This window comes from Homo sapiens, chromosome 1, assembly GCF_000001405.40.
Source record: "Homo sapiens chromosome 1, GRCh38.p14 Primary Assembly".
Classification (NCBI taxonomy): Eukaryota; Metazoa; Chordata; class Mammalia; order Primates; family Hominidae; genus Homo; species Homo sapiens.
This window is the reverse complement of record NC_000001.11, coordinates 169,940,995-169,956,959: the sequence shown is the minus strand read 5'-3', so window position 1 is coordinate 169,956,959 and position 15,965 is coordinate 169,940,995. Positions and strand designations below refer to the sequence as shown.

The window sequence follows — 15,965 nt, the reverse complement described above, 5'->3', positions numbered from 1 at the left end:
GGGCACTGTAGAAGCTGCAGTTTACTTAATCAACCACAGTGTCCTAGGAAAATTAAAAATGAAGTTGGGCACTGTAGCTCACACCTATACTCCCAGCTCTTTGGGAGGCTGAGGCAAGAGGGATCACTTGAGGCCAGAAGTTCAAGACCAGCCTGGGAAATACCCCGTCTCTACAACAAATTTTAAAAATTAGCCAGATGTGGTGGTACACATCCCTGTAGTCCCAGCTACTCAGGAGGATCACTTGAACCCAGGAGTTTGAGGCTGCAGTGAGCTGTGATTGTACCGCTGCACTCCAGCCTATGCAACAGAGCAAGACCCTGTGTCTAAAAAAAAAAAAAAAAAAAAAGAACTTCAGTGGTATAAATTTACTCTTTTTTTATTCACATAAGAGTAGACATATTATTGAACTAGTTGTATTCTGGATTTATACAATTTCTGGCTGAATCTTTGAAGTAAAAAATTTTTAATTTGATTTCTATTTGATGATCGCCCATTTTCTAGTGCCCTGTATTTCTATTTATCCTTTTGCTACTCATTGTTCCCTTTGAAGACAATAGGCATTCTGAATCAAAAATAAGATGTTGAGAATTTGGTCAGATTTTTACTTAATTTCTACCTAATCTGGATCACTTCACTATGTCATATTTTATAAGTATAAACTTTTTTACATAATTCACATATCTTTTCATTTGGCTTTATTTATGAAATATTTCTTAGTGTTAAATTCTTTTATTTTATTGGCATGCCGAATATCTTTGTGTGTATTTTCCACGTGTGGCATATATTTTATTTTGGCATTTTACTTAGCTTTGTTCCTCTAAAATTGGCAGGTTTCTTAAACTCCGATTCTCAATTCTTTGGTTTTAATTTAACAGAGGAACTTGTTGATTTTTGTTAGTTTTGTTAGTTTGTTAGTTTTAGCCACTTTCACAAAATCCCAGCCATTTTTAAAAAGTTTACTATATATAAAATCACAAGTTTTTATATGGCTAGAATCCATATAAAATTGATTTTTTTACATTGCTTTACTGTCAGTCTGTGGTGTCTTGTCATTTTCCATGATTTCATTTTTTTGTAACTTTTCAGTGTTTAGCTGGTCTTTTTGATTTATAGAAACTTTAACTTCTAGTGGACATAAAAACTGGATTAAATATTACTGACACTTTCTGTAGAAACTCAAGCAATCTCTTAAGTATTTTAAATTAGTAAAGTAATAGGACAGATACCAAAGGTGTCCATTAACAATTTGACAATTAAATAATAATATGTCATTAATATATGATGTGTAACATGGATATATGTATCAAATGAGTAGTATGAGAGTCTTATGGAAATACAAATTACCCCACTTAATTCGTTTGCCAACTCTATTACTTAGTTTTACCATTCACTCAATTTTTTAGACCCTTACTCCTCAAACAGATTTCGTCATTTAACTCTTACCTGTCTTTCCAGACTCAAATCTGTTACACTTCTGCCACCTCCACTCAAAGTAGAATTTTCTGACCCCTCTATAGCTTTTACTGCCTCCACACTTATTGGGTACTTATATCCATTCCTTCTGTATATCATTTATTATAAATTACATTTTTAATTGCATCTTAAGTGTTTGTCTTATATTTCACTTAAACTAAAATTCTTAAAAACAGAGGTTATGTATTGTAATTTTATACATTTCCCACAGGACCTAGCACAGTATTTGCATGTGCTAAGTATAAAATAATCATTTGGTGATTGAATAATTTGCCTATACTGTGTGCCAAATGTATAAACAATGTGGTAGGTATGACCTAGCTAATGTTTATCTGCAGGCCACTCAACAACCCAGCATACTTTCAGAAAAGGAAACTTTGAAAGGCCTCAAAGCTGTCCAAATAGTTATTACAAAAGCAGTATACTAACGTATTTGTTCTATTCATTGAACAGCTCTGAAGCCATCACTTAGATCTTTTTTTCCTCAGATTCTTTTTATTCTTACCTTATTCATAATTCTATCAAAAATAGGTTATCTAGATTCTTAGATTGGAACAAATGAGAAAGTAGTACAACTCTATAATCAGGAAAATATCTTAACAAATACTTAAATTTAGGGAAAGAAGCACTTTATAAGCAAAGAATAATAAGCATACTAGTATAGAACTATTTAGCGTAGGTAATCAGATATATCTCACAACGCTAGGGACTGTACAATATTTAGTATTTATAATGAATATTGAATAATCAAGGAATATTTCTGTATAGTATATCCTTTTAAGAATATAAGGAGTGTAAACTATATGAAGATTTCTAATGTAAGTTTGTGTGTGTGTTTTAATGTCTGGCACTTAAACTGTCAAATATTGCTTATTTAGAAATTCACTTATTTTATTTGGTATATCTGATTCCCTAATCATGCTACACTAATAAAGCTGTGAAATACAATAAAGTATTACCCTTTACCAATACCAAACTATTTAATACCTCCTTGCCTTTATTTGTTCTATTTCCTTAGCCTGAACCATCCTTACTGTCTGTCCCCACCTTGCTTCCCTTCCTTATCTTTTTCTTTCTTCTCCATACGAGACCATAAGCCTGCTTGAAGGCAGAGACTAATTCCTCTCTGTACTCACATAGTGCCAAATACATAGTAGATGCTCAATGAATGTTCAGTTGTTGTGCTGCATTATTGTGAACCAGTACTTAAGGTACATACAGTTGTCTGTTCATACTCCCAGAGAGAACAGCATGTCATGCTAACATTTTTCTTTATAGATTAAATATACAAGTTATTTTCTTATTGTATTGCTTGATAGACAGGTTTTTCCTACACATATGTTTTACTGGTTACCATTTTTTTTTCTTTCTAGATGGATTAATTGCCTCTGAAGGAGCCATAAGTCCCGATTTCTTCAATGATTACCACCTTCAAAATGGAGATGTTGTTGGGCAGCATTCATTTCCTGGCAGGTAAACAGTTTTCCAAGAAAAATCTAATGTGTAGTATCTGTTGCTTTTGGAAAGCTAAAATCCTCTTCACTCTCCATTTCTCTTCTTTTTCATTAAGAGGGGGGAAAAAACCCTCAATCTTTTCAAGGGCATGTTTGTTTGATTTTAAATTAACTTATGAAGTCACATTTTCTGTATTTAAAAAATGGAGATCACAAGGCCGCGTGTGGTGGCTCACGCCTGTAATCCCAGCACTTTGGGAGGCCGAGGCAGGCAGATCACGAGGTCAGGAGATCGAGACCATCCTGGCTAACGCGGTGAAACCCCGTCTCTACTAAAAGTACAAAAAATTAGCCGGGTGTGGTGGTGGGCTCCTGTAGTCCCAGCTACTCAGGAGGCTGAGGCGGGAGAATGGCGTGAACCCGGGAGGCGGAGCTTACAGTGAGCCGAGATCACGCCACTGCACTCCAGCCTGGGTGACAGAGCGAGACTCGTCTCAAAAAAAAAATGGGGATCACAGATCTAAAACAAAATATGCTCTTCAAGTTGGAAAATATAGATTGTCTGTTGACACAAACAATACTTTTGCCTAATTAATGAATGCAGATTGTTTCTGAGTGTTTTCCAAAGCCATTAAAATATAAAATGAGAACAGAAGATGTGTATTTTAACAATTACCCAAGACATAGCTGTTTTTAAAAAGTTGGTGCTTTTATTAAATTGAAGACTTTTCCTCCCTAGATGGCATTTTATTAAAATAATTAAGAGAAAAAAAAAGTCAGGCCAGTATTGTTTTGCAATTATAATAAAGTTCCCCACAGCATATATCCAGCTTTATTACATAATAATATAATAGATTTTTAAAATCTCGCCAGAAAGTATAAACAATATTTTTCTCTTCATATCATTCCTAGAGGTGTAACATTTTAATTAAGGCTGACCGTTGACATTTCACATTAAGCTAGTCCAGTGAACAGTTATAGTGTTATTTTCCCTTAAGCCTAGTAATTTTTTCATTAAATTATTAATTTTTTTCTTCTTAAATTCTACTTTTCATTAGGATAAGCTATTTTCTATGTGTAAGATATGTTCACGTATTTTTTAAATGAACAATACAGTTGTGACCAATGTGCGATAACTCTTAATGATCACTTGTAGCGTTATTTTAATTTAATACTAATTATAATTTCAGCCATTATGGATTATCCATTGTATATAATCTGTTTTACAAATATTCATCGTATATATTTTAACTTGCACAGCAACATTTTAAAACAAGTATTATTATATGTTTTACTGATGAAATCACAGCTCTAAAAATTCAAGGTTAACTAACCAATTCACACAAGTAGGATGATGGAGCAACAATTTGAACTCAGGTGTATATATCACCAAAGTTTATGTTCTTTCCAGTATAACATGCTGCCTCATTTGGAGGACACAAAATATACTGTAGTGATTTTTCAGCTTTTTTGATCACAACCCACATTAAAAGAAATACCTTTCATATTTGAACTTAATGCATACATACATATTTGTTTATATACATGTATCTACCTATACATATATATGTAAACTGTTTACATATATTTATCTACCTATATATATGTGTAAAACAAAAATTTCTTAAAATGGTACTCTACCTGTAATACACAATTATATTTTATTATATTCCACTTCCTGTTTTAAATGCAAACTGCAACTCACTAAATTGATTTTACAACTTGCTGATGGTCATGACCCAAAGTTTAAAAGCATGGTGGAAAATCATAGGAGTATTACATGAAATGTAATAACCTTTTGTGTAGTTCAGTGTTCTGTAGTGTACTTTAAATAAATAGTAGCCCTTTAAAAATTGTTTCATCTGTGTACTAGATTGTCATAGTAAGAAACACCTTGCCTTAGGAAATAAAAGCTAAACATGGTTAAATACTAGAAAGCATATGGCTTTTGATTACTTCTGATGCTTCTGGCTTTATTAGCTATAGTTATTTAAATAGAGGCTCTGTTTAATCATTATAAATACTGTACTCTATCAGGTGACAATTCACTGTACAAATGTTTTCTGAAACATAATTGGGAAAGGATGAAATGATTTAGATATGTGATCTTAATATTTATATTGAAAAATTTTGCTTATAGCATTTATAAGATTAATTATTCTGCCATTTATGTTTTACTTTTAGCAAAACATTATTTTTGTATCTCCTGCAGATACTGTGAATCTAAAGAAAACCAACTGCTATAAATCATGCATTACTTATTTGAGAAAGACTTGCTTTTTTTAAATTTAATTATGTGACTTTTAAAAAACTAAACATTTTCACTAAAATACAGAAAATCCTTTTTTGCTCAATTCAGCAAAATCTCTAATTTCTAGTGCTCAAAAATGATTACTTTATAAACTAATAAAAGTTTTGAGAGAGATAAATGTATTCCACAAGTTATGTACTGGGTCCAAAGATTTCAGCATTTTATTCCTCCATTCTGTTAATAAGATTTTTTTACATGACTTTGGGAAAATCCTTTTACCTTTGTACCTTTACTTTCTTTTCAAAAGTAAAAATATGTAAGTAGCTTCTTTTACTTCACAAAAGACATATCCCAGTAATATTGACTTAAAAGATTAGTTAATAAAACTTACTATAGACTGTTTTTCAAATCAAAAGAATGATACAATTTTATAATTATTTTCATTTGAGAATTGTTTGCCCTTTAGAAAGAACTTTCCCTGAGAAAGTTAAGACTTTCATCTCTTGTCTTTTGTAATTTTTAAGGCCTTCAATCACATTTAACTGTATCACTTTTTTCATGTTTAGAAGAAATAATTCACAATGAATTTCCTCAAATTTTGTGGTAGGTAATAGAACAAATGAAAAGGGACCCTAAACTGTATCAGCAGAGCCACAGACGGATTACACAATATAGCCAAAGATTCATAGTCTTCTTTTTCACACTTTGTTTTACTGACTTACTCTGGAATCATTTGCTTTTTTGCTTTTATTCAATCATTTGTGGTGGGTAAGATTCTCCTTTTAATAGGACCTCTAAGCTCTTTTTTAACAGTATCCATGGATCTGAAAGTGTGGCATATTTTTCAATTCAAAGATTTAAGTATTTTAAATTGTTACATAATTATTCATATATTTCAATATGATAATTTTGCTGCATAATGTGAAATTTTAAACTATGGCTACATTTCAGCTCCTGATATCCTATAGGTGAATTTAAATCTCATTAAACTAAATAATAGTCATTCAAAAATATTTTTGAAATTTTTAATTTTAACCGATTTTAAGCAAAGTAGGAATCTTTTTCAAGAAATGCAAGTTAATTAAAGAGAAGTTGTTGAACTCATTCTTCATCTCTACTGTAAAGATGAGAATAAGCAGACTTAATGGACAACATGAAGAATTTGTGTTAACTGTGAAAGAATAATAGCTGAATTGATCTTTACATATTGAAAAAGCTGATTCTCTAAATATCTTAAAAAGATTAAATTGTCTATTTGGAGTTGTTGGGTGTTTTTCCTTTAAATCAGGGAAATGGTCCAGATGATTTATAAATTCTTTCCCTGCTTCTTCTTCATATGTCTTTGATAAATAAACACTGTCAAGTTATCTGGAGAAAGAGTAATACTTGATTAATGTATAAAAGGTGAACTTTTATCATTACCATTGTTTTCAATGATTTAAGTATAACAATATGTGGGATAAAACACGAAACAATATGACAGTGCCAAGTGGCATACTCTTCAGCCAGTTCTCATGGCTTTTCATTCTCTGTTTTCTTAATGTTTCAGTTTGAGTGGATTCATGTAATAAATAACAAATTGCTAATTTGTATGACACAAGGGTTTTTTTAATTGTTTAAAGAAAAATTATTTATTTCTTCATAAAATGACAAGGTTCAGTAATAGGATGAATGTATTAAAATCTGAGAAACTAAGCCAGATTTAGAGAAGAATTTAAATAGTTGAAATTGGTATTTTTCTTAAAATCCAAGTCAGGGGGTCCTTCTTAATCTGAATACCTTCATTTTTGTAAGATAGCAATGCAGTTTAATTGGAAACAGTGAAAACTGTTAAACTCATCTATCCCATTCTATAAGAAGACTGGATGTTTGATAAAATAGATATTGGCAGTTGGACAGTGAATCCTGGGTTTTAGACATGTGTCACTATCAGTTTGAACCTCTTGGCGCCAGGATTTCCCAACATTTAGAGCTAATGCAAAATGCATTAGGGCTCTAAGGCAATAGCTATGGAGTTGCCAATCCCAGAGCGTCAAATGTAAATCTTCCCCTCCCAAAATCTGAACTGGTGTTAGAAAGTAAAGTGGAACTTGCTTTTGAAGCTAATTAAAAATAATAGGAGCAAGACTAGCTTTTTTCCAGTTATGTATACCATGTATCTGCACCATATTTTTGGACCATTTTTTTATTATAACTTTTACTTTTCAAGACTAACAAGAACCGCATGTTAAGGGTATTTTTAAACTGCTTCCAGCTTTTACAAATCAGTTTTTGTTGCAGTAAAAATGGTCCATTTTTCTTTTATAGGAATCCAATTTTCATAAACTGGAAAAAAAATTGCAGAGACTGCTTAGGTTTCCTTGGGGCTTTGAAAAATATTTTTCAGAGAGCCTGGAGTTCTTCTTTGTGGTTGGCACAGTGATGTCATTTACTGACCATTTCAGTGGGGTCAAAGACAAACTAGATGTATGCATTATCTGAGCCATCTGACTCTTAAACTTTCATTTTCTATGTGTGTGTTATAGCCTGCCTCTTTTTCTTTTCTTAGAGTACTTTAATATTAACTTTTTTATGCATTATATGTATTATATATTACATATACATATGCCTTCTATTTTGGTCTCTTTTTTTTCAAATATTAAATCACAGTTGGATATTAGTTGTACTTTTAAAAATCATACTGAGGAGAACTAAAAAATTATTTCTTTAAAATATAAGAAATAATCTTTTACCCAAATTTTTAAATGTATGATTTTTTAATTCTAGAATTCTACATATAAAAAAATTAGACTTATTTGTTTAGCTGTAAGGCTGCCTTAATTATACTCAGCTATTTAGTTTACTGTTTTTTTCCCTTGAGAAAGCAACCTCAAAATTACATATTCTCTGTCTAAAAGGCATTGTGCAGTGTTTACAGAACTACATATTACTAGAACTGTATATTATGAGTTTGTTTCAAAGCAGTTATTCAGAAGAGAAACTAAGTTGTCTATTTTACAGCCCTTAATTTGGCCAAGCAAAAAATTCTTTTATATTGAGAGGAAAGTAAATATGCCTGCAAAATTCCTTCTTTGATAAGTCCTTTATCAATTTTTAATTAATAACCCAAACTCATTTGTTCTAATAATTTAAGTTCAATGATCTTCATTACTGTGGCCATAGCATAGCAATTAGATGGAAGGATCAAAAAAGTGAAAAGAACCTCTCAGAAGCATTTTCTTTGATAGACATTGACACCAACCATTTGTTCAGCATTGTAAGAACTAACCTAATTGCTAAAAACCTATAAAATCTTTTTAAAATAATCATTGACTAAAATACTGCTTCATTTAGTGTGTTATTACTTTTTTTTACCAAAGATGATCATAGTTTTTCTATTATTTATGAATTTCATATTACTTTTTCTCAGCAGAAAACATGCTTCATGAAGCCTTTCAAAAAAACTGACTTAGCCATTTTTCTAGACATGGTGTTTACAAAATAAAGCAGACATAACATTTTCACCTATCAATTGCCAAATAATTTCTAGTGCTAATACCCACACATCAAAGCAAAACAGCACTCCTAAACACCTGTTGTAGAATTTAATAAAACCTTTATGAAAGGCATTTGGTAATAAAGAACAAGAGCCTTAGATTGTTTACTTCCTTTTACTCTATAACTTTATTTCTAAGAATTTGTCCATATGAAATAATCAGAGATAAACATAAAGACTGATAAATAAGTTATTATGTGTCAAAGAAAATTGATACATTGAGGGTAGTGGAATAAACATTTTTACAACGTTATTTTTGTGCCATGAGATTTTTGTCTACATACTAGATTATATTACACTGGTTCTCTAAGTAAACTTTATATGTGAATGTTAAAATAAGTCAAAATAGATACATTTACTAATGAATATCCACCTTTCATAAACTTCTTCACTTTTTAAATGATTTACCACAGTGAACTTTTAATTTTCCTCTTCCTTATTAAAAATGTTTTTTATAAAAATTTTATTCATATATGATGTTTTGATAGCATAAAATTGGATACATCACTGCCACATCTGTAATTCTAGTAACAGATAGCAGACAGTATGGTTAAGAATATTTGCTCAATCCATTTATATTGATTTTCATGTATTAAAACATTATAACAGATTTGTTGACTTACTCTTAATATGTAAACATATTTTAAGATAAGTCTATTATGAAACATAGTATAATATTAAAAAAATATCATTGAATGCAAGTCACTGTCATACATTTTATTTACACTTTGTTCTTGACATGCACATTTGCATAAGTCCCTAATACTTGTTCTTAGCTGGATCCAGGTTGGGATATTTGCAAGGGTTGCTTCTCAATTTAAATAGAATTTTAAGTCATGATTTAAACATACGCAGTAGAACCTCTTTATAGCAACAGTAAGGTTGGATAATAATACAGTGTCCTGTTTACTTTTAAAAGTTGCTCTGATTCGGGCATGGTATATGATTTGATCTAAAAATACTCAGATCTGTGCAAATTTTTGTTATAATTGTATTCAGTTATCCAAATGACATTATTTTCAATATATGTAAACATCTATTTCAAGCCAAGTAATAAATGACATAGGTAGGTAAGACCAATAGAAATAATTTTAAGTTCTTTCCACCTTCTTCAGTATTAATGAAGCAGAAGTGTACAGTAAAATTTTTTGAGTAAAACCATAAGAAATAGTACTATATGACAAGTAAAATTATTCCTAAGATAATGCAGTGGTCATTTTACTCTTAAACTTGTGGGATGGTAAAAACAGGAGAACAAGAGTGCAATAGCTATGTCATAACATAGTTCTAATTAATGAGGAAAAAATCAAAGCAAATAAAAAATTTTTATAGTATAAGAGTCTTGATCTTACATAATCTTTACATGAAATCCCTTTTTTCTTTCTGTGTACTTTCATAGTAGCTGTCCCAATTACTTTTTTAGTTAAGAAGGTGGAATACCTTAGGAGCCTTCTAAAAGATTCAAAGAATAAAATGTTTAAGCCTTTTTACTCTAAATCTAAGTATATGAAGTCTAATAAGTTACATTTATCTTGCATTTAAATCTTCATGTATCTTATTTGATCATTAAAAAGTGTGTGAGGTTATAGGGCAAGGAGTAATATTGTCCCTATTTTCACAATGTGAAAATTAAGGTTCAGATATTTTTAAGGAACTAGCCTAAAACCAGGTAGCTAATAGTGAAGCCTTTAAGCTTGGTAAGAGCCAACACTCCTACTATTACATCATTATTGCCTCCAGATGACAAGCAGATATATTAGTCTTATCAGTGAACTGTACTTTAGAAAGTTTAAAATAAATGTTATTAAAATTCAGAGTAAGATATGTAGGTTTTGTTGTGCAACATGACATACTGTTTACCCAGTTTGATTTAATACATTTGACATGGTTTACTGCAAACTGGTGATTCAGATTTGCTTGGAAGCAAGCAGCTAAGGGTTTATTAATACATTAAGTAATTAGTTCACTACCTTTAAATTATCTTTAGTTAGTTCACTAAATTCTCTACAGATTAAATCCAGTTGTATAAAAAATGGGAATGAAATAAGTGGGATATTCTCAGTCTAGAAGGGTAAATGCCTCTTAAAAATCATTTATTCAGCTAATTAACCAGTTTAAATTTTTGCATTGTTTTAAAATGCAAAATTCATTTGTTTTAAAAATGCTCATAAATGAATCCTCATGGGCTTATTAATAGTCTGATTTCTCTTATTTGTTTAGACTTCTTAGAGAGACAGCTTCTTTCTAATATAGAAAAGGCAAGGAAATTCAGTTCTGCTGCTTGGACACTAATGATTTGCATTTCCCAAGGAGAATTGAATTAGGTTTTATTAGTAAATTGGGCCTATAACCTTTAAGGGCAGATTTTATTAGATTATCACACATCGGCATTAGTAAATTGTAAACTTAACTGAAATATAGACATATGAGCCACAAATCAAGGCTTAGAATCCTGGAAACTTGGGAAGATGTTTTATCCTAGAGAAATTATAGTCCTGAGTTGAAAAAATATTTCAAGTGATTCGCTTTCTTTTGAAACTTTAGAAACAAGAGAAGTTGTGACAGAACTACCCTCTTCAAGTTAGTGTTCAATTTAAATCTGCTAATCTGAGCAAAAATTTTGAAGGCATGCACATTAGCTGTATAGAAAGCCCAAAGATGCTCCCAAATAAAACCAAATTTATTGTAACTTTATTAGTGATGGCAGCAGTGGCCCATCTGGAGCAGCTGCTGCAGGGATGCCAGCTGCAGTTGGGGAGGCGCAGCTGACACTGTGAGCTACACAGAGCTGTCAGGCTGGGAAGAGGCATGAGCCCTGCCCCCTGCCAAGTTGGCAGGCCAGGAGCCCCACACTCCTGGGCACAGCTGCAGCCGCCCAGCCACAGCTTGAGACCAGGTCATCCCTGTGCTCTTGGGGGCCTGGGGAAGGCCCCCTGCCCCTGCAGGTTCGGAAGTGCCTGCTTCCACTCCCTGGCCTCTCCCTGTTGCCGGTGCCTGCTCCAATTTTGCAGCAAAGTTGAAGCCAAGCCCAGGCACTGTCATGACCTGGCTGGGTGTGCCTGCACTTGGGGCGGTACTGACACACCAGCCCCCCCCCGCCCCCCACTGCCTCAGCCCCCTCTGAAGCTTTGGGCACCTACAAGCTCAGGGAGGGAGGCCAGGGGGTGCTGAAGGTGGCTTAGTATGGGCTGCCTGGGCACCCTGGATGGCATGTTGATGGCAACAGGCAGGCTCCTGGGCAAAAAGGAGTGAATCCCCAGTGAAACCCCACCTTCTAACCAGGGATGGCCTGAGCCTGGGGACCAGGCTGCCGGTTCCAGGTGGAGTCTCCCACCCAAAGTGAGAACTTGTACTTTTTCTGGCCCTGTCCATGGCCAGCCATGGACCAATCAGCATGCACTTCCTCCCTTCTGAGCCTAGAAAAACCCCAGGCTCAGCCAGACTCATACAGACGTGGGGATTACCTGCTTGCTGTAAGGAGCTACCCACTGCAGATCTCCTCTCTGCTGAGAGCTGGACACTCATCAGGCCGCCTGCAGAAAGGAGCTACTACTTTGGGTCTCCTGAGAGCTGTTCTGTCACTCAATGGAGCTCCTCTTCCCCTTTGCTTACCCTCCAGTTGTCCACTTAACCTCATTCTTCCTGGATGGGAAACAAGAACCTGGGACCTGAATGGCAGGACTCAAAGAGCTGTAACACAAACGGGGCTGAAACACGTCGCCCCCACTCACCATGTTGTGGGAAACGAGAAGGAGGGAAGAGCTGTGGCTCTTCCAAGAGCCCAGACGTAGTTGCTCCTGAGCCAGGGATGTGACACCCTCTGTGGGGCTCTGCGGTTCCCAGTTTCTCCAGGTTTCTGGGCGCCTCTGTGTTTCCCTCATCCAGACGCAGTTGCTCAGAGCAGAAGCTGCGTGCGGTACATCTGGTCCATCTGCAGCCTCACACAGAGCCAGCACCTGTACCAGTGCCTGGAGCTAACCACCCTGCCATAGTAGCCAGTCAGCCAGCATGCCTGCTGTGCGTGGTGACCAGACCCTGCGCTTGGTCACCCACACAACCTCGCCGCTCCACACCTGGCTAACCCTTGGCAGGTGTGGGATCCAGGTTGGTAGCTCAAGCTGAGCACAGCCTATCGGGCCTAGTGGGCAGAACGAGCCCAGCGGGCGCAAACAATACTCAGGGAGAAGGTGCCGCCAGCCACAATGGTTTCTGGGTGGCAAAGCAACACCCCAAGGATCCTGTGACATTAGGACTTTGACTTAGTAGAAGAAATTCAGCATAATTGAGTCTATAAATTTAAAACGTAACCCGAATATGACTGGAACCTTTAAAAATGTTAACATGTCAATTATGGTACAGCTTTGTACTAGAAAAAATGACACAGAAGCCAATCCAGTTGTGTCTGGCAAGTTAATTATATCATCACCATTTAAGAGTGATTATCTAGTGTTAAACGTCATATACTTTTCACATGTATTGCATTTTTGTTGGCTTTACAGATAGAAATTAGTTGTAAATTTAAATGGAAAGAAAGAAAGTCTTTAAGCAAGGATGACGGTTCTTATGACATATTTGACCTAGAAATGCTCTTATTGTAAAAAACAAAAATGATTTTTAAGGTAATATAATGCAAATTACCGTCATAAAGGCTTGCTCCTTCATATTATAATGAGAATAACAAAATTGTATATAATTGGTTAATAAGCATCACTATTCCCCCTTAAAAAAATAAGGGAGAGAAATAGAGCATGTCATCTTTTATTTCCTTTAAATATGAGTGTAATGATATTGAGCTTACTCCTTAACTCAGGGATATTTTCTAATTTAAGGTAGATTTAATCTAGCCTATTGTTGTCTTGATTGATTTAACAATGTAATTTAACTATTTATGAACAGTTGTTAGATTTCTTATATTAGAAATATTAGATATTTTTTCTAAGATATTTGTTTTTTAAGAAACAGCTAAAACCTAGGGCCTACAGGTTTTCAAATGTAATTTTAAATGTAATATTAATTCCCATAATCTCCATATTGCCCATAGTCTTTACAGATGTGCTATTACAAATAGCTTACTCCTCAGATATGAGCCATATGGGCTCTGTAAACTGATTTGCACTTATTCTGAATAGGAATTATACAGATTGTAGATGAATTATTAAGTAAATTTATATTACCAAATAAATCTAAGAATAAAATATTAAGCTGTATTAAATGAGAAAGGAATCTGCAAATGAAGACCTACCTGCGTTAATAAGTTTAGTGGTTACCTTCTTGGTTTCAATCAAAAGAAATTAGTTTTTTGTTGTTGTGTTTTTTAAAGGGGTGGGGGGGGGCGTCTTTAAAACTGCTTACGGAAGTATCTAAGACAAAAACAAGGAAATATAATGTTATAAACTCAGCCAGTCCAAACCACTTGAACTGCTATGACAGCTCATAAAACTGAGAGTAGTTTTTAACTGGGCTCTGTTCTACATTGCCAAAGTGAATTTTCCTTGCAGGAAGTAGCCAGAGGGTTTATTTAGTTTCCAGTCCATGGCTTTGATCTTTCTGTACTGTCACATCTTGGGTTACATAGCCCTTTTTCACTGCAGTAAATCTGCAGCAGTTAATGAGAATAAAATTTCCTCCTTACTGATCACATTCTGTTGAATGCCAAACCACAGCCAACTGCATATTTGCAGAATTTCAGCTACAATGTATGAAAACAGCACAATCAGTTTAATCTTGTTTTCTTTGCAATTCATTTTATTGGGCTTTCTTCCTTTTCAAGTGACCTACTTTATCCAGTCAAGTGGTTGCAGGCCAAACTTGGAAGAAAGATTTAAAATGTGAATAAACTAAGAGGAGAAGGTGTGCAGGAGGTGGGCCAGGGGAGGGCAAGTGGAAGTCCGTCTGCACTGCCGTGAAGATTCCAAGACTCCATAAATTGAGTTTATTTTAATCCTTTTTAAAGACCAAGCCTTTTTTTCTTTTTTCTCCTCAAATAAAATAAAATGGTTTGTTATTTCTTTAGTTATTTTGTATGTTTAGTTTCAACATAAGTTTGTACTTACTGAGTTTATTTAATGAGTCATAACATTATTTTTCAGTTTTCATTATAGAGAAGACACCACAGTACTTAAGGAAATTTAAGGGAATTTCAAGGATTTCAAAAAATTGAAGTTTCACTTTATAAGAGCTCTTCTTAGAGTAAAAATAACATTGTTGTTAACACACACTATACCATCTTATCAAATGGGTCCTTACAAACATAAAGGAAATACTATGAATATGTTGAATAAATCAATAGAATTTCAAAATCACATTTAAGCAAGCTGAATTTTATACATTAATATGTGCATCCTCATAGTAAAGTACATAAAGAATCATATTTATTTTCTTTTTTGTTACAATGAAACCTCTCAATTGAGGCATTAATTACCTGATTCAGTTAATACAGGTTAAATATATTTTTTACTTACACCTCTTATCTTTTCTACTGCTTTGTTTTTGTGGTTGGCAACTGGAAGTTAGCAACTTCTTTGTCAAGAAATTCACCCTCAGGGGGCCATCTTGGGTGATAGTCATTGATAAATATATTTTATTGTATATTTATATTAGGTCAAATTTATATATGGAAATATGAAATTTTATAAAATAAATCAAAAAAGGAAATCAGCTTATATTTTCCCAGAAGATTGAAGTCACAGTTACTGTTTAGCCATCTAATTTCACAGAAAAAATTATTCTCATCCTCATAAAAATCAAAATGTTGAGATAAAGAAAAAATATGTAATATTTATTGATTTAGACAACTACCATAAAAGCAATAACCAAAAGTGTATTGAGAACTCAGAAGACTGTTTCTGAATTGGGGACAGTAAAGTCAGATCTCCTGATAAAAAGAGGATCCACTTTTGGGGAAATGCCTGTTGTTAGTTACCCCAATACAAGAGGAGGGTAAGAGGAGTGGTTTGAACATTTTAAAGGAAAGAGGTGCAGCACTCACAGGGCCTTTTCAGAAGGTATTAGGTATAATGTTAGAATGTTGAACTTTCAAAATGTAGCTTATACTCTTAGAATTGTTTTCAAATAGACCTATGTCTACTTAAATTGTAACATAATAGTTTGCATGTGAAAAAAAGATGAAGATGAAAACAGAATTTTAGACTTTATCTGAGGGCCTTTTCTATAGTTTGCTTCTTCGTTTCTTTGCAACTTTAAATCTGCCCAAAATTCTAACCTTGCAAGTCCACAGAAAGTTTCTTCA

General features: G+C 33.7%; 1 protein-coding gene across 9 annotated transcripts in view, besides 2 other annotated features; it reads left to right on the top strand.

Moving 5' to 3' along the window:
* The window catches only part of KIFAP3 (kinesin associated protein 3), a 163,856-nt gene that overhangs the window by 128,225 nt on the left and 19,666 nt on the right, over window positions 1–15,965 (top strand). For all 9 annotated transcript variants that reach the window (XM_024454186.2, NM_001204516.2, NM_014970.4 and 6 more), the window contains one exon: window positions 2,850–2,949. In XM_024454186.2, the coding sequence (XP_024309954.1) occupies window positions 2,850–2,949 (100 nt within the window). The remainder of the gene's footprint in view (window positions 1–2,849; window positions 2,950–15,965) is intronic.
* Window positions 11,752–11,920: a silencer, noted in NCBI's record as "fragment chr1:169914181-169914349 (GRCh37/hg19 assembly coordinates)". NCBI's record gives its function as "represses an EF-1alpha promoter that drives an FKBP-Casp9 reporter gene in an ReSE screen in HepG2 liver carcinoma cells {active_cell/tissue: HepG2}" and the evidence as "EXISTENCE:reporter gene assay evidence [ECO:0000049][PMID:32094911]".
* Window positions 13,022–15,705: an enhancer, noted in NCBI's record as "VISTA enhancer hs1442". NCBI's record gives its function as "enhancer in: limb[10/11] | genital tubercle[9/11]" and the evidence as "EXISTENCE:transgenic organism evidence [ECO:0001131][PMID:17130149]".